This window comes from Homo sapiens, chromosome 2, assembly GCF_000001405.40.
Source record: "Homo sapiens chromosome 2, GRCh38.p14 Primary Assembly".
Classification (NCBI taxonomy): domain Eukaryota; kingdom Metazoa; phylum Chordata; class Mammalia; order Primates; family Hominidae; genus Homo; species Homo sapiens.
In genome coordinates this window covers 119986652-120012765 of record NC_000002.12, presented here as the reverse complement: position 1 = coordinate 120012765, position 26114 = coordinate 119986652, and the positions used below count along the sequence as shown (strand labels likewise).

At 42.9% G+C, this 26114-nt stretch overlaps 1 long non-coding RNA gene and 1 pseudogene across 3 annotated transcripts, besides 1 other annotated feature; one reads left to right on the top strand and one right to left on the bottom strand.

Annotated features, from left to right (window-relative positions):
- Nucleotides 1–61: 61 nt before the first annotated feature.
- Nucleotides 62–4925, bottom strand: LOC107985817 (uncharacterized). Of its 3 annotated transcripts, none has more exons than XR_001739205.2 (4): nt 4585–4925; nt 2465–2619; nt 1108–1126; nt 62–373 (listed from the first exon to the last, which is right to left on the bottom strand). It is a non-coding gene; the product is annotated as an uncharacterized LOC107985817 (long non-coding RNA). The 3 variants fall into 3 exon arrangements; XR_001739206.2 differs by lacking the exon at nt 4585–4925 and adding an exon at nt 2702–2833 and having other exon boundaries at nt 1108–1454; XR_001739204.2 differs by lacking the exon at nt 4585–4925 and adding an exon at nt 2702–2833.
- Nucleotides 5499–5793: an enhancer, noted in NCBI's record as "tiled region #12882; HepG2 Activating non-DNase unmatched - State 2:TssF, and K562 Activating DNase matched - State 8:EnhW". NCBI's record gives its function as "activates a minimal TATA promoter and a strong SV40 promoter by Sharpr-MPRA in HepG2 and K562 cells {active_cell/tissue: HepG2 | K562}" and the evidence as "EXISTENCE:reporter gene assay evidence [ECO:0000049][PMID:27701403]".
- RPL27P7 (ribosomal protein L27 pseudogene 7) lies at nt 19127–19598 on the top strand (annotated as a pseudogene).

The following is a 26114-nucleotide window of genomic DNA, read 5'->3' as shown; positions in this document are numbered from 1 at the left end:
TTCATTCATCCATTCGTTCAAGAGATTAAATCCTTCGCAAATACTTATTGAGAGCCTGTCACGTATTTCCTCCCTTTTTCTCCTTTGTAGGGATTAAAATACATTTAAATCTCTGCTGTTAAAGTGACTTTCACTCTACTGGGGAAACAGTAAACAAATAGGTGTCACAAGGTGATTAAGTGTAAATGAGGAAAAATAAAACTGGGAAAGAGAAATAAAAGATTACTGCTTAGCAGAGTGTGGTCAGGAGGGTACTCTAACAAGGTGACATTCAGTCCGTTCATTCTACAGGTAATTGATTGAAGTGCCTACTTACTGTGAGTTCTGTGTTCTAGACACGAGATACGACAGACAACCAAGACAGACAAAAATCCTTCCCGGAGTTTACGTTATAGCAGGAATATAAACGAGACATAAAATAAACGAGATAAATTAGTGAAATTAAATACTGTCAGACATTGGTAAATGCTAAAAAGAAAAGTACAAGTAGGGAATAACCACAGGCAGTGAGGGTTTGCGATTTTACATAGCAGGTCACAATAAGAAGGTGGCATTTGGCTGGGCGCGGTGGCTCACTCCTGTAATCCCAACACTTTGGGAGGCCGAGGCGGGCGGATCACGAGGTCAGGAGATCGAGACCAGCCTGGCCAACACTGTGAAACTCCGTCTCCACTAAAAATACAAAAATTAGCTGAGCCTGGTGGCGTCCGACTGTAGTCCCAGCTACTCAGGAGGCTGAGGCAGGGGAATCGCTCGAACCCGGGAGGCGGAAGTTGCAGTGAGCCCAGATCACGCCACTGCACTCCAGCCTGGCGACAAAGCCAGACTCAGTCTCAAAAAAAAAAAAAAAGGTAGCATTTGAATGAAGACCTAGAGGAGGTGTGGGAGGAACCCTGTGGCCATCTGGGGAGAACCGAAGGGAACAGCAAGGGCAAAAGGCCCTGCAAGGGGACAGGTCTGTCTTTTCAAGGAAGTCCAGTGTGGCTAGAAGTGAGGAAGCAAGAGGAAGAGGAGGTGACAGTCAGAGAGGAAAGGGGTAAGATGTAGGGCCTTGTGGGCCCTGGCTAGAGCTCTGAGAGAGGTGGGGGAGCCACTGGAAGGTGTTACCTTGAGGACCCTCTGCTTGCTGAAATGAAAAGAGACAAATACTCATTGAGCTTCTTCTCGGGATTTGGCACTGCCCACTCCTCCACCACCCCAAAACGTAGTAGACAGGCTTGGCAGCTCATCTCTGCCCCATGTGGTGTTGGCTGGGCAGCTCAACAGGTGCTGGAGCTGCCAAGGTGGTTTCACTGGTCTGTGTGGCATCTCCGCTGGGGTGGCTGCAAAGAACAGCTGAGTTCTGCCTGGGCTACTCTCTTGCAGATCCGCTGGTGTGGCAAAACAGTGAAAACAGAAGCTCTGAGGCCTATGAAGGGCTATGCCCAGCAGTCACGGAGCGTCCCTTCTGCTGCCTGTTAATGGTTTAAGCAAATCACAGAGGCCGCCCAGTTTCAAGGAGATGAAAGAGACTCTACCTCTTTTTTTTTCTTTAAATATTATTAAAATAGAGAAATTTTCCTTCTCCACCTTTTAAAAACATCTTTATTGAGATATAATGCACCCACTTAAAGTGTACACTTCCATGGCTTTGGGTATTTTCACAGAGTTGTAGAACCACAAACCACAATCTAATTGTGGAATATTTTCATCACTCTTCATGAGAGGAGCAGCATGGGTGTTCAGGGATGGGAGGAATTGTTGCTGGTCATCTTGCATCTTTATCTCAACAAAAAAACGAAATGATATGGCAGGGGGAAGCAGCAATGGTATAGATGAAACAAGAATGGGCCATAAACTGAGGCTGGGTGATGGGGACGTTAAACTATTCTATCTAAAATTTTTCATAATAAAGTCCTTTAGACCGAATGTGGTGGCTCATGCCTGTAATCCCAGCACTTTGGGAGGCCGAGGCAGGAGGATCACTTGAGGTCAGGAGTTCGAGACCAGCCTGACCAACATGGTAAAACCCCGTCTCTACTAAAAATACAAAAATTAACTGGGTGTGATGGCACATGCTTGTAATCCCAGCTACTAGGGAGGCTGAGGCAGGAGAATCTTTTGAACTCAGGAGGTGGAGGTTGCAGTGAGCTGAGATTGCACCATTGCACTCCAGCCTGGACGACAGAGACTCTGTCTGAAAAAAAAAAAAAGAGTATTTAAAAAAATACCACCTGGACACCTGTAATCCCAGCATTTTGGAAGGCCAAGGCTCAAGAGTTCTAGCTCAGGAATTCGAGATTGGCCTGAGCAACATGGTGAAAACCGTCCCAGCTACTCAGGAGGCTGAGGCAGGAGAATCGCGTGAATTCAGGAGGCGGAGGTTTCAGTGAGCTGCTTTCTCTGCACTGCACTCCAGCCTGGGCAATGCGAGTGAAACTCTGTCTAAAAACAAAACAAAACAAAAAACAACAAACAAACCCACCTGGGCCAGGTACCCCGAAAAGCATTCCTTCTTCCCAGGGGTCTGATTAGCCAGTTGGAAAACTGCAGGGTCTTCAGTGCCATCCCCTCAGCCTGTCCAGACTGTCTCTTTCCATGTTTACCTGATGTTTACTCATTTGAAAAGTTCTGGTTTATCTGATTACAGATCAGAAATGGAAGTGAATTCTGTCAATACTTATAAACATATCTTATTCTCCTAAATTGTTGAAAAGCATACCAGTTTTGAAAAACAGTGTCCTCTTCATCCATCCTGCTCAATCTTTTTTTCTATCTCCTATCAAAGATGGAACTGGGGCTGGGCACGGTGGCTCATGCCTGTAATCCCAGCACTTTGGGAGGCCGAGGCGGGTAGATCACCTGAGGTCGGGAGTTCGAGACCAGCCTGACCAATAAGGTGAAACCCTATCTCTTCTAAAAATACAAAAATTAGCCAGGCGTGCCAGTGTGTGCCTGTAGTCCCAGCTACTCGGGAGGCTGAAGCAGGAGAATCACTTGAACCCAGGAGGCGGAGGTTGCAATGAGCTGAGATGGCGCCACTGCACTCCAGGCTGAGTGACAGACCAAGACTCCATCTCCAGAAAAAAAAAAGGTGGAACTGAAGGAGGCTGTGGATGAGGTTAGAGAAATCTGTTGAGAAAGATGGTTATAGGCTAAAGGAAATATGAAGACTTGAGGAAAGGAGGATGAAACTTAAGGGCCCAAGTCATAGAAAGTTGTTCATGTTCTAATTATGTGAAATTATTCCTAATAACAAATCATTGTCTCCCCAGATCCTCTCTTCTAGACATAGGGACCCTCTGTAACACACGTTTCGTGATAAATTCACCAGAAAATTGACTTCTGCCAGAGACAGAGAAAGCCCTCTCCTTAAATATAGCTGTATCAAGGAAAAATGCATTTGGCTGGAAGTAATGGGAAATTTTAACTGTTATTTGAAAAATAAGGAGTTTATTTTTCTCACATAAGTAATCTAGAGGTAGGCAGCTATTAGTACTGGTTCTGCTCCTCAACAATGCTGTAAGGATCCTAAACCCCTTTACCATTTCTGCTTTGCCACCCTTAGCATGTTGACCTTGGTTTTCATGCTTCTAGCATACTGGCCACAGGACGGATGCTTATCTCCAGCTTTCTTGAGTTTCAGGAATAAAAGGGAAGGGGAAAAAGACCTTTACCTGAAGCCTTGTCTTTTAATTCAGAGAAGAAAGTACCAGCACCCCCTGTCTCCGGCCAGAACTACACTACCTGCCCTAACTCAGACCAATTAAAGGCCATAGGGAAAGAGAATACCATGACTGGCTTAGACCAGTCAGGATTCACCCTTGGGAGCTGGAGACCAAGGGCTCTCCTTAACTTTCTGAACAAATCCAAATTCTATTAGCCTCAAAGAGAGAATGTTGCTGAGACAAATAACTGTGGGTAGCTATAGAAGGTGCCTACCAGCCTGGCACGGCGGCTCACGCCTGTAATCCCAGCACTTTGGGAGGCCGAGGTGGGTGGATCACGAGGTCAGGAGATTGAGACCAGCCTGGCCAACATGGTGAAACCCCGTCTCTACTAAAAAAATACAAAAATTAGCTGGGCGTGGTAGTGGGCGCCTGTAATCCCAGCTACTTGGTAGGCTGAGGTAGGAGAATCGATTGAACACCAGAGGTGGAGGTGCAGTGAGCCGAGATCGCGCCACTGCACTCCAGCCTGGCAACAGAGTGAGACTCCTCTCAAAAAAAAAAAAAAAGAAGGTGCCTACCAAAACCCACTTCCTGGTGGCATTGTCTTGGCCCATGGAAAGATTTTCTTTTACTGAACTAATATATTGAACAAATACCCTCACGTGAGATTTTCACTTCTATCCTAGGTCCTGGTTTGCTCTCTGGTTCCACACAGATAGGGGTATATCCAGTTTTTGTGTAACTCATATACTGTAATTTGATGGTGGGGGAAGAGGTCTTTAGTTGGAATAACACAAATTTAAAGATTCAAAATTAGGTACAGCGTCTTGGAAGGAGGCCACACAATAGCCCTAAAGCTTAAACCAGATTTATCTTCACAGTAAATCTACCTCTACCCCTAAGAAATAACATAATCTCTCTTTCACATCACAACCCTTTAAATCATTGAAGACACTTGTCCCAAGCCTGCAAAATCTTCTCTTGTTCTGATTTCCAGGCTCTTTGCTTCCTTAGTCAGCCTTCTCTGAACTGGTCCACCCTGGTGAGGCCATTCATTCGTGTCAAAGTATGCTGAACAGATTGGCTTAGAGAGAATTCCGACATAAGAATCAGTTCTCTTGGAGACTGAAGTGGCCCTGCATTCCAAAAGAACAGTGATGGCCATGATGATATGGTAGGGAGGAAGCAGCGAATGTACCGGTGAAACAAGATTGGGCCATGAAAAGAAAATACCCTCAGAAGAGTGAGTATCATGAAGAATTTGTTTCTCAAACACTGAATCTAGGAGAGCATTATCTATTTAAAAGATGTGTACAAATAAAATAAATCAACAAACAAAACCACGCTGGTCATTGTGGCTCATGTCTGTAATTCCAGCACTTTGGGGAGGCCGAGGTGGGCGGATCACGAGGTCAAGAGATCGAGACTATCCTGGCCAACATGGTGAAACCCCGTCTCTACTAAAAATACAAAAATTAGCCGTGTGCGGTGGTGCGTGCCTGTAGTCGCAGTTACTCCGGAGGCTGAGGCAGGAGAATCGCTTGAACCTGGGAGGCGGAGGTTGTGGTGAGTCTGAGCCAAGATAGCGCCACTGCACTCCAGCCTGGCAACAGAGCAACACTCCGTCTCAAAACAAAACAAAACAAAACTAAACTAAACTAAAACCAGTCATAAGAAACTCCCATGGCCAGGCACAGTGGCTTACGTCTGTAATCCCAGCACTGTGAGAGGCCGAGGCAGGCAGATCACCTGAGGTCAGGAGTTCAAGACCAGCCTGACCAACATGAAGAACCCCTGTATCTACTAAAAATAAAAATTAGCCAGGCATGCTGGTGCATGCCTGTAATCCCAGCTACTTGGGAGGCAGAGGCAGGAGAATCGCTTGAACTCAGGAGGCGGAGGTTGCGGTGAGCCCAGATGGCGCCATTGCACTCCAGCCTGAGCAACGAAAGCGAAACTTCATCTCAAAAAAAAAAAAGAAAAAAAAGAAACGCCCATAAGAGAGACAATTTTATTAGCATATTGCAAGGAGCCTGGAGTTTGATTTGGAAGCTAAAAGGCCCCAAACAAGTTTAAGTCCTGTAAAATGAAGATGATGCCAGCTTCCCCACAGAATAGTTATGAGCCTTACACAAAGTAAATCATCTAACATGTTTTCAAAATCATGCAATACTACATATAAGACAATGCAAATTTTACAGACCTAGGAGCAAAGATAACCTTTGTGCTACAAGTGGAAGACTAGGATCTCCTGAAATGGAGCCACGGCCCAAGCCTACTTTCACGTGATTTGGTGGCTCCCTTTTACCCAGCTAAATCTTTTCTGAGCCGGAATCGCATGTTTGAAATTCCACCCTTCCCTTCTTTGCAAATATTCCTGGGAGGAGTAAGACCTTAAACTAATTCATACTAAATGATTAGCCACATTGGCTAATTGAAGGACACACTAACAGAATGGGGGAAGGCAGGGGTTGGAAGTATGCAGAGAAGAGACATGGAAGGATGAGTTGGAGACAAGTCATTTCTTTCTCCAAAGCCTCCAGGCTTTCCCCCTACTTCTGGCTACTCAGGGCAAAGGACCTAATGCATCATTTTGTTCAGGATTATCTGGAACAGTGTCTTACTCGGTAGCCTATACTCTTTATTTATACTGTTAGGAAGAAAAAAAAAATCAGAAAAGCTTTGATGGCTCCAGGCAAGTTCATGATACTGAGTAATAGAGAGGCAGAAGTGAAACTATTTCACCATTGGTTTTGCCTACTGGTGAAACCATGATGAGACTGAGACTCAGGGGAAGAAAAAGGTAGGAGCCAAGGCTCAATGCTTCTAGAAGTTAATATGTATATGAGTCACCTGGGGATCTTATTAAAAGGTTTAAGCCTGGGGTGGGGCCTGAGATTCTGCCCTACAAACAAGCTTGCAGTGTGTTGATAGTGGACATTAGTGGTCTACACATTGAGTAACTTGGTCTTTAGGTGACTGTTCCCATACCTGTGACTACTGCTTGACACCAGGGGCAGGGAAGGTATTAGGAGACCTTGTGGTAGAAAGATCAGTGGCGACCACCTGCTACTGACTCATTTGGACAAGGCATTATCTTTCCTGGCATCGGTTTTCTCATGTGTAAAATGAGGTAATTAGGCCGGGCGCAGTGGCTCACGCCTGTAATTCCAGCACTTTGAGAGGTTGAGGCGGGCAGATCACTTGAAGTCAGGAGTTCGAGACCAGCCTGGCCAACATGGCGAAACCCCGTCTGTACTAAAAATACAAAAAAATTAGCCGGGCGTGGTGGCAGGTGCCTGTAGTCCCAGCTACTTGGGAGGCTGAGGCACAAGAATCGCTTGAACCCGAGAAGCAGAGATTGCAGTGAGCCAAGATCGCACCACGGCACCCCGGCCTGGGTGACTGAGCGAGACTGTCTCAAAAATAAAAAATAAAATAAAATGAGGTAATTAGAAGAGAGGATTCTAAGATCTCTTCAAGATCTTAAAACTTATTATTCTAAACCTGTTCCTATACATAAAGAAGATTTTATTTAATGTTACATTAATTTCAGATACAAAAAATCTGGGTTTAGAGATTATTAGAGTTTTGTTAAAAATAACTCAAACCTCAAGTTTCCTTTAAAGAAATAATTTTCTCATCACACTTTAAATGCCCATTTTCCAAAATGTGTTTGAGAAATATGAGGTACAGGTTAAAGTTATGACAATACTTTTTCAAACATATAAATTTGTATAGTTCCTTTAAAAATAGTTTCTCTCAAAGAATATTGAATTTGGCTTCAGAGTTAGACAGACCTTCATTCTGGTCTCTGCACTCCATATACTAGCTATTTAACTTCCAGAAGGGCACTTAAACTCTCTGAAGCTCAATTTCCTCATTTATAAAATAGAGATAAAAGTTGAAAGAATGAGCTGGGCGTGATGGCTCACGCCTGTAATCTCAGCACTTTGAGAGGCCGAGGTGGGTGGATCACCTGAGGTCAGGAGTTCGAAACCAGCCTGGCCAACATGGGGAAACCTCATCTCTACTAAAAACATAAAAATTAGCCAGGCCTGGTGGTGGGCGCCTGTAATCCCAGCTACTAAGGAGGCTGAGGCAGGAGAACCACTCAAACCTGGGAGGCGGAGGTTACAGTGAGCTGAGATCGCACCTCTGCACTCCAGCCTGGGCAACAGAGTGAGACTCTGTCTCAAAAAAATAATAATAAATAATAAATAAATTCAAAAAGTTAAAAGAATGTAATGCAAAGATGGAAAATGTGCAGTTTAGGGACATTATTCTTAGCACCGTTAATGCCAGAGAACAATGGAAGAGTGGTGGGAGATGAAGCTGGGTACTTAGGCAGACACTACTTCACAGGGCTCTGGATTTTCTCATTATAATCTTTATCCTCTGAGGATTGTTTTGGTTTCCTGGCAACAGCCAATAGTCAATCAGAATACCGTTCAGTGAGTATGTTGAAAAATAAGGTATCTAAAAACAATGTATTGAGAGAAGTTGATGGAAATGGCAGAGTAAAAATCTCTGAAAATCATCACCATAGAAGCAACAAAAGGCTGTAAAAAATGTTCAGAATCAGTTTTTTCAGAACTCTGCATATTAGCCAAAGACATATAACAATCTGGCAGATGTTTATTCAGGAAAAATGGCTGAATCTTGATAAGAGCAGTGAGTTTTAGGGCATTTAAACTTGCACTATTCTAATCTCCCTCCTTCTAGTTCCACAACAGCCTTAAAAAATGCAGCCTGGCAGCCCCTGGAGGAGGTAAAACACAGTAGCAGCTTCTTCAAAGTCCCATTCCCAGAGAACTGTCACTACATGATGTCTGGTGGTGCCCTAGAAAACCCCATGGACAAAACTGTCTTTATTTGACGTGATTCAAAGCTCATTCAGGTGGCCTGGCACAGTGGCTCACATCTGTAATCCCAGCACTTTGGGAGGCCGAGGTGGGCAGATCACTTGAGGTCAGGAGCTTGAGACCAGCCTGGCCAACATGATGAAACCCTGTCTCTACTAAAAATACAAAATTAGCTAGGTGTGGTGGCACATGCCTGTAGTCCTAGCTACTCAGGAGGCTGAGGCACGAGAATCTATTGAACCCAGGAAGTGAAGGCTGCAATGAACTGAGATCGCGCCTCTGCACTTCAGCCTGGGCCACTGAGCAAGACTCTATCTCAAACAACAACAACAACAACAACACAACCAAAGCTCATTCAGGACAAACCGCTTTTTTCCAGGGTATTTGCTGAAGACAACATTATGGATGCCTGAGGCAGCTGAGTAAATAATAGGCCAACAAAAACAACAAATAATCTCAAAATCAAAAGTTGGGGATGAGAAGTCCTTAGGGTCTTTGAAAAGCTCTGATATATTTAAGGGAATCTAGAAGGCCACTTGCATGCAAAGGGCTATGAATGTGACCAGTGCTACAAAGATGGTCAGGAAAGATCTGAGAACACCCTGAAGCCCTAGTGAGCAGGAAGTGAAAAGCTAAGCCAGAGTTGTAAATTACCTGGCTAAATGTTGAAAGGCCGGCGCAGTGGCTCATGCCTGTAATCCCAGCACTTTGGGAGGCCAAGGCAGGCAGATCCCTTGAGCTCAGGAGTTTGAGACCAGCCTGGGCAACATGGTGAAACCCTGTCTCTACCAAAAATACAAAAATTAGCCAGGCATGGTGGCATGTGTCTGTGTTTGTGGTCCCAGCCGCTCGGGAGGCTGAGGCAGGAGGATACCTTGAAGCAGAGGTTGCAGTCAACCGACATTGTGCCACTGCATTCCAGCCTGGGTGACAGAGTGAGACTCTGTCTCTAAATAAATAAATAAATAAATAAATAAATAAATAAATAACGTGTGCCCCAGCAAACACATAAAGCCTTTTAGCGAAGACTGGGAGAATTACTGCTTCCAGGCATTTAGGGAAATCTCTATCCAGTCATCGGGTGATCACTAAGATAACTGAACAAAGACTTCCATAGTTACATACAATAAAGAATACAGACTTCATAGAATTAGCTCAGGAAAGCTGTGAAACAAACAAATAACAACAACAACAAACAGCAACAACAAAACACCCTAGAGAAGGGGAGATTCTAAATGCCAAAGTTTTCACATTATGTTCTTTTTTTTTTAATTTTACTTTAAGTTCTGGGATACATATGCTGAACACGCAGGCTTGTTACATAGGTATACATGTGCCATAGTAGTTTGCTGCACCCATCCACCCATCAACCCTTCATCTAGGTTTTAAGCCCAGCATGCATTAGGTATTTGTCCTCATGCTCTCCCTATCCCTGCACCCCACCCCCCGACAGGCCCGTGTGTGATGTTCCCCTCCCTGTGTCCATGTGTTCTCACTGTTCAACTCCCACTTATGAGTGAGAACATGCGGTGTTTGGTTTTCTGTTCCTGTGTTAGTTTGCTGAGAATGATGGTTTCCAGTTTCATCCATGTCCCTGCAAAGGACATGAACTCATTCTTTTTTATGGCTGCACAGTATTCCATGGTGCATTTCACATTATATTATTTCAATGACCAGTTTTCAAAAAGAAAACATTAGACAAGGAGCAAGAAATTATAGCCCATACACAGGGCAAAAACCAGTCAATAGAAACTGTCCCAGAGGAAGTCCAAACACTGGACTTATTAGACAAAGACGTTAAATCAGCTGTTTGGTTGAAAAACCAAATGAGGGCCTGGCATGGTGGCTCAGGCCTGTAATCCCAGCACTTTGGGAACCAAGGTGGGGGGTCACTTGAGCCTAGAAGTTCAGGCCTAGCCTGGTCAATATAGATAGACCCTGTCTCTACAAAAAAAATAAAAAAGTTACCCAGGCATGGTGGGAGGTAAATGTTGCGACGAGCCATAATCATGCCACTGCACTCCAGCCTGGGAGACAGAGCAAGATGCTGTCTCAAAACAAAACAACAAAACACACACACACAAACAACAACCAAGGAAAACAAATGTAAATTACTAAAGAAAACTATAAGACTGACGTCTTAAACAGAGAACATAGATAAAAATTATACAAAAAGAAGTAAATAGTAATTCTGAATATGCAAAAGTACAATAACTGAAATAAAGAATTCACTAGAGTAGCTCATTTGCAGATTTGAGCTGGCAGAAGAAAGAATCAGTGAACTTAAATGTAGGTAAATTAAGACCATCCGGTCTGAGGAACAGAAAGGAAAAATAATGAAGAAAAATGAACATAGCCTCAGTGATCTGTGGGACACTGTTAGGAGTTGAATTGTATTCCCCCAAAGGTATGCTGAAGTACTAACCTCCAGTATCTGTCAATGTGACCCTGGAAAAGACCCTTTAGAAAGGGTCTTTACAGATGTAATCAAGTTAAGGTCCAATGACTTCAGGTCATTAGAGCAGACTCTAATCCAAAATGACTGCTGTTCTTACAAGATAGAGAACTTTGGACAAAGAGACAGATACCCCCAGAGAAAAGACTATGTAGATAAAAACAAGGGGAAGGCAGCCATATGACAGACAGAGACAGAGATTAAAGTGAAGCATCTGGTAGTTAGAAATTCCCAGGATTGTCATGGAACCCAAGAAGCTAGAACAGGCAAGGAAGTATTATCTACTGGATACTTCCGAGAGAGCATGGCCCTCCCCACACCTTGATTTAGGACTTCTAGCCTCCAGGAAAGTGAAAAAACACATTTCTGCTATCTTAAACCATTCAAGGCTGTAGTTTGTGAAACGCTGCTATAGTAACCTTAGAAAACTAATACAGACATTAAGTGTAACAACATATGTACAATCAGATGCTCAAAAGGAGAGGAGAGAAAAAAAGAGTAGAAAGAGTATTTGAAGAAATAATGGCTGAAATTTGCCAAATTTGTTGAAAACATTAATATACATGTTCAAGAAACTCACTGAACTCCGAGAAGAATAAATTCAAAGACATCCACACCTGAGTATGTCATAATCAAACTATCGAAAGACAAAGAGAGAATTTAGAAAACAGCAAGAGAAGCATGACCCATTACATACAGGACACCCCCAGTAAGATTAATGGCTGATTTCTCATCAGTAACCACAGAGGCCATTGGGCAAAGGGATGACATATTGAAAGTGCTGAAAGAGGCCAGGCCCAGGGGCTCATGCTTGTAATTCTTGCACTTTGGAACACCGAGGTGGGTGGATCAGCTGAGGTCAGGAGTTCGAGACCAGCCTGGCCAACATGGTGAAACCCCATCTCTACTAAAAAAAAATAAAAAATTAGCTGGGCGTGGTGGCACTCGCCTGTAATCTCAGCTACTCTGGAGTCTGAGGCAGGAGAATCACTTAAACACAGGACGGGGAGGTTGCAGCAAGCGGAGATCACGCCATCGCACTCCAGCCTGGGAGACAAGAGTGAAACTCCGTCTCAAAAAAAAAAAAAAATTGACAAGCCATTACCAGACTCAAGAAAATATTAAAAAATCAAGTTTTCCTTTTTATCAGAACAATAATTTATTGGGAAATATAAGTTTAAAATTCCATTTATAATATCAACCACTACTTTCAGTAGTTACAAAAAAAACAATATTTAAAACTTAAGAAAATTACTGAAGGACATAAAAGAAGATTTGAATACTTGCAAAGATGTTACATGTTCTTGTAAGAGGATCCTCATTTTGTGTAAATGTCCTTATTAATCTACAGGTTTAATGTAATTTCAATAAATAAATCTCAAAAATATTATTATGGGGTGTGGCTTTTTGTGGAAGGATAAGAAAAACCAAGAAAATAAAGCACAGACTTACTTGTCTATCAATACTCACTTTATTATAAAGCTACAGGAATGAACATAAAGATAAAAGGAACAACTTTGGGAAATCTTTATATGTAAGGGAATTTATTTTATTTATTTATTTTACTTTACTATTTTATTATTTTAGAAACAGAGCCTTGCTTTGTCACCCAGGCTGCAGTCAAGTGGCACTGCAGTTCACTAGTGGCACTAGCTCACTGCAGCTTTGAACTCTTGGGCTCAAATGATCCTCTCACCACAGCCTCCCAAGTAACTGGGACTACAGGCACATGCCACTGCCTCCAGCTAATTTGTTTTATTTTAAAATTTTTATTTTGTAAAGACTGTGGTCTCACTTTGTTGCCCATGCTGGTATTGAACTCCTGGCTTGAAGCAATCCTCCCACCTCAGCCTCCCATAGTGTTGAGATTATAGGCAAGAGACCTCCGCGCCTGGCCAGGGAATTTATTATATAATAAAATATCTTTCATAATTATTGGGACAATCAGAGTCTTTATTTTATTTTATTTTATTTTTGAGATGGAGTCTCGCTCTGTCACCCAGGCTGGAGTACAGTGGTGCGATCTCAGCTCACTGCAACCTCTGCCTCCAGGGTTCAAGTGATTCTCCTGCCTCAGCCTCCCAAGTAGCTGGGACTACAGGTGTGCACCACTATGCCCAGCTAATTTTTATATTTTTAGTAGAGACAGGGTTTCACCATGTTGGCCAGGCTGATCTCAAACTCTTGACCTCAAGTGATCCGCCCACCTTGGCCTCCCAAAGTACTGGGATTATAGGTGTGAGCCATCCCATCCAGCCTGAATCAGAGTCTTAACCTGAGACTAACGGATAGGCTTCCAAAGATTCACAAGATCCCTGATGTTTTATGCAAAATTTTATATGTGTGATGTACATATTTTGGGGGAGACTGTCCACAGCTTCCCTTACATTTTTATTTATTTATTACTTTTTTTAAAAAAATTTTTCAAGACGAAGTCTTGCTCTGTCACCCAGGCTGGAGTGCAGGGGTGTGAACTTTGTTCACTGCAACCTCCGCCTCCTGGGTTCAAGCAATTCTCCTGCCTCAGCCTCCTGAGTAGCTGGGATTACAGGCACCTGCCACCACGTCCAACTGATTTTTTGAGACATTTTTAAATGTTCATAGAATCAGCTTGTCAATTTTAGGAAAAAAAAACTGCTTGGATTTTGATTGGGATACTTTGAATCTATACATCAGTTTAGAGACAACTGCAATCTGAACACTATTGAGTTTTCCAGGCCATTTATTTGTGTCTCCTTTAATTTCTCTCAATAATGTTGATAGCTTTGTGTACAGATTTTGCATTTGACAGAATATGAAGCCATTTATGGTGAAAACTTTCAGGATAGTAGCATTAGAAGGATACTACTTCAACGTGGTAGAGGAAAGTCTAAAAAAACGCCTACAGCTAATATTACATTTGACAGTGAAAGAATGAACACTTTACCTCTAAACTGTAGAACAAAGTAAGGATGTCCACTCTCGCCACTTCTATTCAAAATTGTAATGAAGGTCCTAGTGAATAAAATAAGGAAAGAAACAGGAAAAAAGGGCATATGGATTCAAAAGCAAGATGCTAAAGATGTTAAAGACTCTATGAAATGGAAATTAGAACTAATAAGTGATTTCAGCAAGTTTTCAGGGCACAAGATTAATAAACACGTCAATTATATTTCTACATACTAGACACAAACCATTTAAACTTGATATTTTAAAATACCAGTTACAAAACCATCAAAAAAATTAAATACTTGAAATAAATTTAACAAATATGTGCAGGCAAATTTTCTCGGTAATTATTTGCCTCCAATAAGCTGCACCCATTTAAAGTGTACAATTCAGTTACTTTTCTTTTTTGAGACGAAGTCTCACTCTTGTCGCCCAGGCTGGAGTGCAATGGCATGATCTCGGCTCACTGCAACCTCCGCCTCCTGGGTTCAAGCTATTCTCCTGCCTCAGCCTCCTGAGTAGCTGGGATTACAAGCGCCCATCACCATGCCCAGATAATTTTTGTATTTTTAGTAGAGACGGGGTTTCGCCATGTTGGCCAGGCTAGTTTTGAACTCCTGACCTCGTGATCTGCCTGCCTTGGCCTCCCAAAGTGCTGGTGTGTCCGGAATTGGTGGGTTCTTGGTCTCACTGACTTCAAGAATGAAACCGCGGACCCACGCGGTGAGTGTTACAGTTCTTAAAGACAGAGTGCCCTGAGTTTGTTCCTTCTGCTGTTCGGATGTGTTCGGACTTTCTTCCTTCTGGTGGGGTTCATGGTCTCACTGGCTCAGGAGTGAAGCTGCGAATCTTCGCGGTGAGTGTTACAGCTCTTAAGGCGGCGCGTGTGGAGTTGTTCGTTCCTCCCGGAGGGTTCGTGGTCTCCCTGGCTTCAGGAGTGAAGCTGCAGACCTTTGCCGTGAGTGTTACAGCTCATAAAGGCAGTGTGGAGCCAAAGAGTGAGCAGCAGTAAGATTTATTGCAAAAAACGAAAGAACAAAGCATTCACATTGTCGAAGGGGACCCGGGAAGCTTGCCACTGCTGGCTGGGGGAGGGGGGCGGGCAGCCTGCTTTTATTCTCTTTTCTGGCCCCACCCACATCCTGCTGATTGGTCCATTTTACAGAGAACAGCGTGGTCTGTTTTGACAGGGAGCTGATTGGTGCGTTTACAATCCCTGAGCTAGACACAAAAGTTCTCCAGGTCCCCACTAGATTAGCTAGATACAGAGGGTCGATTGGTGCATTCACAAACCCTGAGCTAGACACAGGGTGCTGATTGGTGTGTTTACAAACCTTGAGCTAGATACAGAGTGCCGATTGGTGTATTTACAATCCCCTAGCTAGACATAAAGGTTCTCCAAGTTCCCACTAGACTCAGGAGCCCAGCTGGCTTCACTCAGTGGATCTCGCACTGGGGCTGCAGGTGGAGCTGCCTGCTAATCCCGTGCCTGCGCCCACCCTTCTCAGCCCTTGCGTGGTCGATGGGACTGGGTGCCGTGGAGCAGGCAGCAGCGCTCGTTGGGGAGGCTGGTGCTGCACAGGAGCCCACGGAAGCGGGGTGGGAGGCTCAGGCATGGCGGGCTGCAGGTCCCGAGCCCTGCCCCGCGGGAAGGCAGCTAAGGCCCGGCGAGAAATCGAGCGCAGCGCAGCGCTGGGCCGGCACTGCTGGGAGACCCAGCACACCCTCCGCAGCCTCTGGCCCGGGTGCTAAGCTCCTCATTGCCCGGGGCCGGCAGGGCCGGCCGGCGGCTCCGAGTGCGGGGCCCGCCGAGCCCACACCCACCCAGAACTCGCGCTGGCCCGCAAGCACCGCGCGCAGCCCCAGTTCCCGCCTGCGCCTCTCCCTCCACACCTCCCCGCAAGCTGAGGGAGCCGGCTCCGGCCTCGGCCAGCCCGGAAGGGGCTCCCACAGTGCAGCGGCGGGCTGAAGGGCTCCTCAAGTGCCGCCAAAGTGGGAGCCCAGGCAGAGGAGGCGCCCAGAGCGAGCGAGGGCTGTGAGGGCGGCCAGCACGCTGTCACCTCTCACTGGGATTACAGGTGTGAGCCACCGCACCCGGCCAATTGAGTTACTTTTGATAGTTTTATATTCCCATAAAACCACCATGATCAAAACAGAACAGTGTCACTGCCAAAAGATTCCTCGTGTTCCTTTTTGGACCGTCCCTCCGCTTACCACCAGCCCCAGCAACCTCTGATCTGCTTTTTTAAAGACTATTTATATTTAATATGATTATCAATATAACTGGGTTTCAATATGACATCTTGCTATTTATCTGCTCCTGGTTCCTTCTTCTTTCCTTGATTAATATTGAATTTACTGAATATTGCTTAGGATTCTGTCTCCAGTTAGGATACTGAATATTGCTTAGGATTTTATCTCCACTACAGGCTTTTAAAAAAACGGGCCTATTGGAGAAGGAAACATATTGTGATAACACATTCTCAGTGTTTGCTTTTGAAAATGCCTTCCTGTGTCAAACTCTTTCAGTCACTAAAAGAAAACAGTTTATGATGCAACCTAAAGAAAGCATGCTTACATTTCCCTTTTAAAGCTGGGTATTGTTATTGGCACAATATAATATAGTGCATAATGGGGAAAGAAAAAAGGTTCTAATAACCTAAAGTTTTGCTTAGAAAGTATCTTATTCATGCCGGGTGTGGTGGCTCACGCCTGTAATCCCAGCACTTTGGGAGGCCAAGGCGGGCGGATCACGAGGTGAGGAGATGGAGACCATCCTGGCTAACACAGTGAAACCCCATCTCTACTAAAAATACAAAAAATTAGGCAGAGCTTGCAGTGAGCCGAGATGGCGCCACTGCACTCCAGCCTGGGCGACAGAGTGAGACTCTGTCTCAAATAAATAAATAACTAAATAAATAAATCTTATTCATCAAGCATTTCCATTCACTGAAAGAAAACAGTTAATGATGGATCTTTAAGACAGCAAGCTGCGGCCGGGCACGGTGACTCACGCCTGTAGTCCCAGCACTTTGGGAGGCTGAGGCGAGCAGATCACGAGGTCAGGAGTTGGAGACCTGACCAACATGGTGAAACCCCGTCTCTACTAAAATTACAAAAATTAGCTTGGTGTGGTGGTGCGCACCTATAATCCCAGCTACTTAGGAGGCTGAGGCGGGAGAATTGCTTGAACCCAGGAGGTTGAGGTTGCAGTGAGTAGAGATTGCACCACTGCACTCCAGCCTGGGTGACAGAGTGCCAAAAAAAAAAAAAAAACAAAAACAAGTTAGCCAGGCCAGGCACAGTGGCTCACGCCTGTCACGCCTGTAATCTCAGCACTTTGGGAGGCCAAGGTGGGCAGATCATTTGAAGCCTGGAGTTCGAGACCAGGCTGGCCATCATGGTGAAATCTTGTCGCTACTAAAAATACAAGAATTAGCCCAGCGTGGTGGTGGGTGCCTGTAATCCCAGCTACTGGGGAGGCTGAGGCACAAGAATCACTTGAACTTGAGAGGCAGAGGTTGCAGTGAGCCGAGACTGCGCCACTGTCCTTTAGCCTGGGCGACAAAGCGAGACTCCTCAAAAAAGAAAGAAAGAAAGAAAGAAAGAAAGCTGGCCAGACATGGTGGATCACTCCTGTAATCCCAGCACTTTGGGAGGGTGAGGCAGGAATGATCACTTGAGGCAGGGGTTTGAAACCAGCCTGGGCAACATGGCAAGACCTCGTCTCCACAAAAAAAAAAAAAAAAAAAAAATATATATATATATATGTGTGTGTGTGTGTGTGTGTGTGTGTGTGTGTATTAATACACATATGTGTGTGTATATATATATACACACACACATATTAGCCAGGTTTTGTGGCACACACCTGTAGACCTAGCTACATGGGAGCTTGAGGTGGGAGGATTCCTTGAGCCCAGGAATTCGAGGTTACAGTGAGCTATGATGGCGTCACTGCACTCCAGCCTGGGGACACAGCAAGACCCTGTCTCTTAAAAGAAAGTTCTGTGAGTCACCAATAAGTAAAAACATTGTAGAAAAAAAGAAAGAAAGCTTACATTTACTTTTTATTGGTGGATTTCTCTATTGGCCTACTGGTGCCTATTAAAGAAACATCTCATCATATTCTCCATGTTTGTTTACAAATGCCTTTCTATGTCAGACTCTTCAATTCATTGAAATAAAACAGTTGATGAATCTTTCAGAACTAGCTTTAAAAAAATCACCAAAAATCTAAGGGGTTATATTTCAGGCACTGTTCTAGGCACTGGGGACACAGCAATGGGCAATACAACATCCCTACCTTTCTAAAGCTGATATTCTAGTACACAATTAGACTGTAAGCCAAAATAAATAAGTAAAATATATAGTCTGTGAGGTACACAAATAAAGCATGAGAAGAGGATGGGAAATGTTGGGGGTGGGGCTGCCTGTACATTTTTGATAATAGGCTTTATTTTTTTTGAGCAGTTTGAGGTTAACAGAAAAATTGAGGACAAAGTAGAGTTTCCATATAACTTCTACTCCACAGTTTTCTCTATTAACATCTTGCATTACTGCTGTACATTTCTCACAACTGATGAGCCAGTATTGACACATTATTAATTAAAGTCCATCAATTACCTTAGGTTTCACTCTTTGTGTGTTGCACATGCTATGGATTTTTTTTTTTTTTTTTTTTTTTGAGATGGAGTCTCCCTCTGTTGCCCAGGCTGGAGTGCATTGAGGTGATCTCAGCCGACTGAACCCCCGCCTTCCGGGTTCAAGCGATTCTCCTGCCTCAGCCTCCCGAATAGCTGGGATTACAGGCGCGCCATCACGCCTGGCTAATTTTTTTTGTATTTTTAGTAGAGACGGGTTTCACCATGTTGGTCAGGCTGGTCTTGAACTCCTGACCTCAGGTGGTCCACCCACCTTGGCCTCTCAAAGTGCTGGGATTACATGCATAAGCCACCACGCCCAGCCTACAGTCTATGGATTTTGACGAACATATATAATGATGTGTATCCACCATTACAGTAGAGAACAGGATAGGTTCACTGTCCTAAAAATCCTGTGTTCTGTCTATTCATCCCCGTCTTCCTCCTCACCTATCACTGATCTTTTTATTATAGTATCCCCATAGTTTTCCTTTTTCTAGAATGTCATACAGTTGGTATAGTACAGTGTGTATGTAGGCTTTTCAGATCCACTTTTTACACTTAGCAATTAATATGTATTTAAAGGCTGTAGGTCTGAGTGGTTGCTGCTGAAATGAGCAAGTTCATGAAAACCTGGGAAAGTGGTGTTTGTCCTGGCCATACACTACCCTGGATGCAAAGCCGTCATTGTGAAGAACATTGATGATGGCACCTCAGATCGCCTCTGCAGCCATGCTCTGGTGGCTGGAATTGACCACTATCCCTGCAAAGTGACAGCTGCCATAGGCAAGAAGATAGCCAAGAGGTCAAACATCAAGTCTTTTGTGAAAGTTTATAACTACATCAAATCATCTACTGCCCACAAGGTACTCTGTGGATATCCCCTTGGACAAAACTGTTGTCAGTAACGATGTCTTCAGAGATCCTGCTCTTAAACGCAGGGCCCGAAGAGAGGCCAAGGTCAAGTTCCAAGACAGGAACAAGATGGGCAAGAACGAGTGGTTCTTCCAGAAGCTATAGTTTTAGATGCTTTGTTTTGGTCATTAACAATTTTGAAAATATATGCATTTAAGGCTCTTCCATGTCTTTTAGTGACTCAATAACTGATTTCTTTTTATTGCTGGATAATGTTACGTTGTATGGATGCACCACAATTTATCCAACTACCTATTGAGAGAAATCTTTGTTGCTTCCAACTTTTGACAGTTATGAATATAGCTGCATTTGTGTGCATGTTGTTGTGTGGATATCTTTTTTTTTTTTTTTTTTTTTTTTGGACATGGAGTCTTGCTCTGTTACCAGGCTGGAGTGCAATGGCACAATCTCTGATCACTGCAACCTCTGCCTTCTGGGTTCAAGCATTTCTCCTGCCTCAGCCTCCCAAGCAGCTGGGACTACAGGCGCGTGCCACCGCACCCAGCTAATTTTTGTATTTTTAGTAGAGATGTGGTTGGCCAGGAGGGTCTCGATCTCCTGACCTGGTGATCCGCCTGCCTCAGCCTCCCGAAGTTCTGGGATTACAGGCATGAACCACCGCACCTGGCCAGATATCAGTTTTTAACTCATTTGGATAAATATCAAGGAAGCACAGTTACTGGATTATGTAGCAAGAGTATGTTTAATTTTTTAAGAAAATGCCAAAGGGTCTGTATCATTTTCAATTATGAATGAGAGTTTCCATTGCTCAGCATCCTCACCTGCATTTGATATTGTCAGTGCTTTGGATTTTGGTCATTCTAATAGGTGTATGTTGGCATTTCATTGTTGTTTTAATTTGAAATTCCCTAGTGACCTATGAGGTTGGGCACCCTTTCATATGTTTACTTGGCATCTGTATATATTATTTGGATGTCTGTGTAGATACTTTGCTCAATTTGATTGGGCTGTTTTCTTACTGTTGACTTTTAAGAGTTCTTTGAACATATTGGACATCAGTTCTTCCTCTCTTATCTTTTAGTAGCTTTCTAAATTTTTAAATTTATTTTTTCATAAAGGGTCTTGCTCTGTCACCTACACTGGAGTGCAGTGGCACCAAAAAGGCTCACTACAGTCTTGACACCCCAGGCTCAAGTGATGCTCCTACTTCAGCCTCTCAAGTAGCTGGGACTACAGGTGTATGCTACCACACCAGGCTAATTTTTAAAACTTTTTTGTAGAGACAGGGGCTTGCCATGTTGCCCAGGCTGGTCTCACATTCCTGAGCTCAAGTAATCCTCCCACCTCAGTCTCCCAAAGTGCTGGGAATATAAGCATGAGCCATCGTGCCCGGTTTAGTAGCCTTTTAAAGGTTCCACATATAATTAAAATTATGCAGTATTCTTCTGTGTCTAGCTTAGTCCAACCAGCATAATGTCCTCTAGGTTTATCCATGGTGTTGCAAATTCCTTTATCCATTCATCTGTCGACAGACACTTAGGCTGTTTCCATATCTGGGCTATACTCTCTGAATAATGCTGCTAAAACATGGGAGTGCGGAGATCTTTTTTTTTCCCTTTCTGTACTTTTTTTTTTTTTTAGATGGAGTCTTGCTCTGTCACCAGGCTGGAATGCAGTGGCACGATCTCAGCTCACTGCAACCTCCACTGCCCAGGTTCACGTGATTCTCCTGTCTCAGACTCCCGAGTAGCTGGGATCACAGGCATGCACCACCATGGTCAGCTAATTTTTGTATTTTTAGTAGAGAGAGCGTTTTCACCATATTGGCCAGGCTGGTCTTGAACTCCTGGCCTCAGGTGATCCACCTGCCTCGGCCTCCCAAAGTGCTGGGATTACAGGTGTGAGCCACAGCACCCCGCCTCTTTCTGTACTTGAATGGATGAAAACAGCTATCTTTATGATGTACTGATTTCACTGCCTTTTCGGAAGATACCCGGAAGAGAGATACTTCCTCTCTTATCTTTTATCATATCTGGATCATATGGTAGCTCCGTGTTTATTTTTTTCGATGTAACTATGCTGTTTTCCATAATGGCTGTACCAATTTATACTCCCACCAACAGTGTACAAGCGTTGCCTTTTCTCCACACCTTCACTGACACTTAATGATTATCTTAATAAGTGTGAGGTAGTATCTCATTGTGGTTTTAACTTGCATTTCCACGATTAGTGATATTGGGCACCTTTTCACATACCTGTTGGCCATTTTTATGCCTTCTTTGGAAAAATGTTCAGGTCCTTTGCCCATTTAATAACTGGGTTATTTATGCCATTGGGCTATTTATTTTTGCTATTTAGTTGTGAGTTCTTTATATATTTTGGATATTAACCCCTTATCAGATATATGGTTTGCAAGGCCAGGCTCATGCCTGTAACCCTAGCACTCTGGGAGGCCAAGGCAGGCAGATCACCTGACATCAGGAGATCGAGATCAGCCTGACCAACATGGTGAAACCCCGTCTTTACTAAAAATACAAAAATTTGCTGGGAGTGGTGGAACATGCCTTAGTCCCAGCTACTCGGGAAGCTGAGGCAGGAGAATTGCTTGAATTGCCTGGGAGGCAGAGGTTGTAGTGAGCTGAGATTGCACCATTGCACTCCAGCCTCGGTGACAGAGCGAGACTCTGTCTCAAAAAAAAAAAAAAAAAAAAAAAAAAAGATATATGGTTTGCAAATATGTCCCAAGTGTGGGTTACCTTTTAATTTCGTTAATTGTTTCCTTTGCTATTCAGAAGCTTATTAGTTTGATGTGATCCCACTTGTTTTTGCTTTTGTTGCCAGACCTTTTGGTGTGGTATCCAAAAACATTATTGTTAAGGCCAATGTCAGGAAGTTTTCCTATGTTTTCTTCTAGGATTTTTACAGTTCCAGGTCTTATGTTTAAGTATTCATTCAATTTTGAATTGATTTTTGTGCATAGTGGAAGGGTCTAATTTCATTGTTTTGCATGTGGATTTTCAGTTTTCCCAGCTTAATTTGTTGAAAAGATGGTCTTGGCATCCTTACCAAAAACCATTTAACCATATCAGTGAAGGTTTATTTTTGGAGTCTATTCTGCTCCATTGTTCTATGTGTCTGTTTTCACATCAGTACCGTAATATTTTGATGACAGCCTTATAATATAAGTTGAAATCAGGAAGAATGATGCCTCAACATTGTTCTTTTTTTTTTTTTTTGAGATGGAGTTTTGCTCTTTTTGCCCAGGCTGGAGTACAATGGCGTGATCTCGGTTCACCACAACCTCCGCCTCCCGGGTTCAAGCAATTCTCCTGCCTCAGCCTCCCGAGTAGCTGGGATTACAGACATGTGCCACCACACCCAGCTAACTTTGTATTTTTAGTAGAGATGGGGTTTCGCCATGTTGGTCAGGCTGGTCTCGAACTCCCGACCTCAGGTGATCTGCCTGCCTTGGCCTCCCAAAGTGCTGGGATTACAAGTGTGAGCCACCGTGTCTGGCCCAACATTGTTCTTTCTTAAGACTGTGTTGGTTATTTAGGGTCTTTCTTGGTTCCATACACATTTTAGAATTTTTTCTATTTCTATGAATGATGCCTTTGGAATTTTCATAGAAATTGTGTTGAATCTGTATTCTGGATAGTACACAGGCATTTTAACCATTTTTCCAATCCATGAATATGGGATACATTTCCAATTTATATCTTCTTCAATTTCTTTTATCAATGTTTTATAGTTTTTATTGTACAGATATTTCACCTCATTGGTTAAATTTATTCCTATGTATTTTATTCTTTTTGATGCTATTGTAAATGGGATTGTTTTCTTGATTCCCTTTTCAGGTAATCATTATTGCTGTGAAGAAACAAAACTGATTTTTATATGTTGATTTTGTATCCTGCAACTTTACTGGATTTATTAGTTCTAATAGGTTTTTTGTGGAGTGTTTAGGGTTTTTACATATAAGAACATGTTACCTGCAAACAGGATAATTTCACTTCTTCCTTTTCTATTTGGATACCTTTTATTTCCTTTTCTTGTGAGATTGTTCTTGCTAGTTCTTCTAGTACTCTGTTGAACAGAACTGGTGAGAGTGGGCCTCCCTGCCCTGTACCAGACTAATGGGAAAATTTTCAGTTTTCTCTCATTTATTTTGATGTTTCCTGTGGGCTTTCATTAATGGCCTTTTGTATTAAGGAAATTTCCTTCTATACCTATTTTGTTGGGAGTTCTTATCATAAATGGATGTTGAGCTTTTATCTTTATTATGTTAATGTGTATCACAGTGATTGATTTGCATATGTTAAACCAATTTTGCATCCCAGGGATAAATCCCACTTGGTCATGGTATATAATCTTTTTGATGTGTTTTGAAATTCAGTTTGCTAGTATTTTATTAAATAATTTTCCATCTGTTTATCAGATGTATTAACCTGTGGTTTTATTATCATGTCTTTGTCTGAATTTGGTATCATGGTGATGCTGGCCTAATAAAATGAGTTTGGAGGTATCCTCTCTACTTCTATTTTTTAAGAGTGTAAGAAGTGTTGGTATTAATTCCTCTTTGAATGTTTGGTAGAATTCAGCCATGAAACTATCTGGTCCTGGGCTTTTTTTGTTAGCAATTGCTACTTCAATTTCCTTATTTGTTAGAGTTCTGTTCAGGCTTTCTATATCTTCTAGATTAAGTCCTGGTAGGTTGTATGTTTCTGGGACTTTATCTATGTCTTCTAGGTTATCCAGTTTGATGGCATATAATTAATTGTTCATAATAGTTTATGATCCTTTTTGTTTCTGAGGAATCCATTGCATATCTTCTATTTATTTGAGACAAGATCTTGCTCTGTTGCCCAGGCTGGAGTGTAGTAGTACTGTCATAGGTCACTGCAGCCTCAACCTCCTGGACTTAAGTGATCCTCTCACTTCAGCCTCCCAAGTAGCTGCGACTATAGGCACACGCCACCACACCCAGCTAATTAAAAAAAAATTTTTTTTTTTTTGTAGAGACCAGGTTTCCCTGTATTACCCTGGCTTGTCTCCAACACCTGACCACAAGTGATCCTCCCAACTTGGGCTCCCAAAGTGCTGGAATTACAGGCATGGGCCACCGCATCCAGCTGATATAGATTTCCGCAGAACTTTAAATATGGCATCTCATTGCCTCGTGGCTTCTGTTGTTTCCAGTAGAAATCTGTTGCTAATCTTATTAAAGATTCCTTCTACCTGATGAGTCTCTTCTCTTTCTGCTTTCAAAATTCTTTGTCTTTGGGTTTTGATAATTTAACATATCTGTGTGTTGAAGAGAGTTTATCCTGCTTTGTGTTGAGTTTTCTGGTTTTTGTTATATTTTTGAGACAGGGTTCCACTCTGTTGCCTAAGCTAGTGCAGTGGTGCCATCAAAAAGCCAGGATGTTCTGAGACCAGCTTGGGAAACAAAGCAAGACCCTGCTCTACAAAAAAATAAATAAATTAGCCAGGTGCAATGGCATGGCTACTCTGGAGCCTGGGGGGCTCATATGGGAAGACTGCTTGAAAACAAGAATTCAAGGCTGCAATGAGCTGTTGTTACCCCACTGCACTCCAGTCTGGGTGACAGAGACATCATGTCTAAAAAAAAAAAAAGAAAAAAGAAAAAAAAAAAAGAAAATGTACAAAAGGATACTAACTATATCAATTTTAACTGCAAAAATTTTAAAACTGTCTGCATATTTTTCAACAGAGAAATTGCTACATACATTGTAGAAGACCACATATCTGATGGGATCAGAACTAGTACTTGATTAAATGAAAAACCATTTAAAGAAGGAAAAAAACTACATGCATTTGGTTTTAGCTTAAAAAACATAAATGTATATTCATTTGTGATTCTTTTCATGTAGGGCCAAGGCTTTTGTCAATAGGTTTAAGCCTCCTTGTAATCCCTTAGTCTTTCTTGCAAGCAAAACAAAAACAAAAACAACCTTAAGTGTGTCACCTATATTTTTGTTAGTCTCTCATAGTTGTCTTGGTCATATCTGTTTTCAATAAATTAAAGACATTGATCCTTAGGCTGGGTGTGGTGGTTCATGCCTGTAATTCCAGCACTTTGGGAAGCCAAGGTGGCTGGGTAGGTGGGTGGGTCACTTGAGCCCAGGAGTTCAAGACCAGCCTGGGCAACATGGTGAAATCCTGTCTCTAAAACAAAAAACAAACAAACAAACAAAAAATTAGCTGGGTGTGGTGGCACACACCTGTGGTCCCAGCTACTAGGGAGCTTGAGGTGTGAGGATCACTTGAGCCTGGGGTACAGACATTGCAGTGAGCTGAGATCACATCACTGATTCCAGCCTGGGTAATAGAGCAAGACCTTATCTCGAAATAATAATAATAATAATAATAATAAATGAAGAAAAATAAAAAAATAAAAATCCTTAAAATTTTAATCACTCACTTTTAAAGGCTTTCACAAAAGCCCAACCTTCTTTTCACACTCTCATTTCATTGGCTTATGAAATATAGAATTAAATGACATAATAAAGATAAATCTGTATGCATATGAAAGCACATAAGCACAACTGATTTTAGCAAGCTTACAGCTTAACTTGTGGAACTGGAAGAGCTCTAGCGTAATTGAGAGCAGTCAACAAGGCCAGGGAGATCAAAAGTAGAAAGCAGAGTATCAGTCTTCTGAGTTGGTTATTTG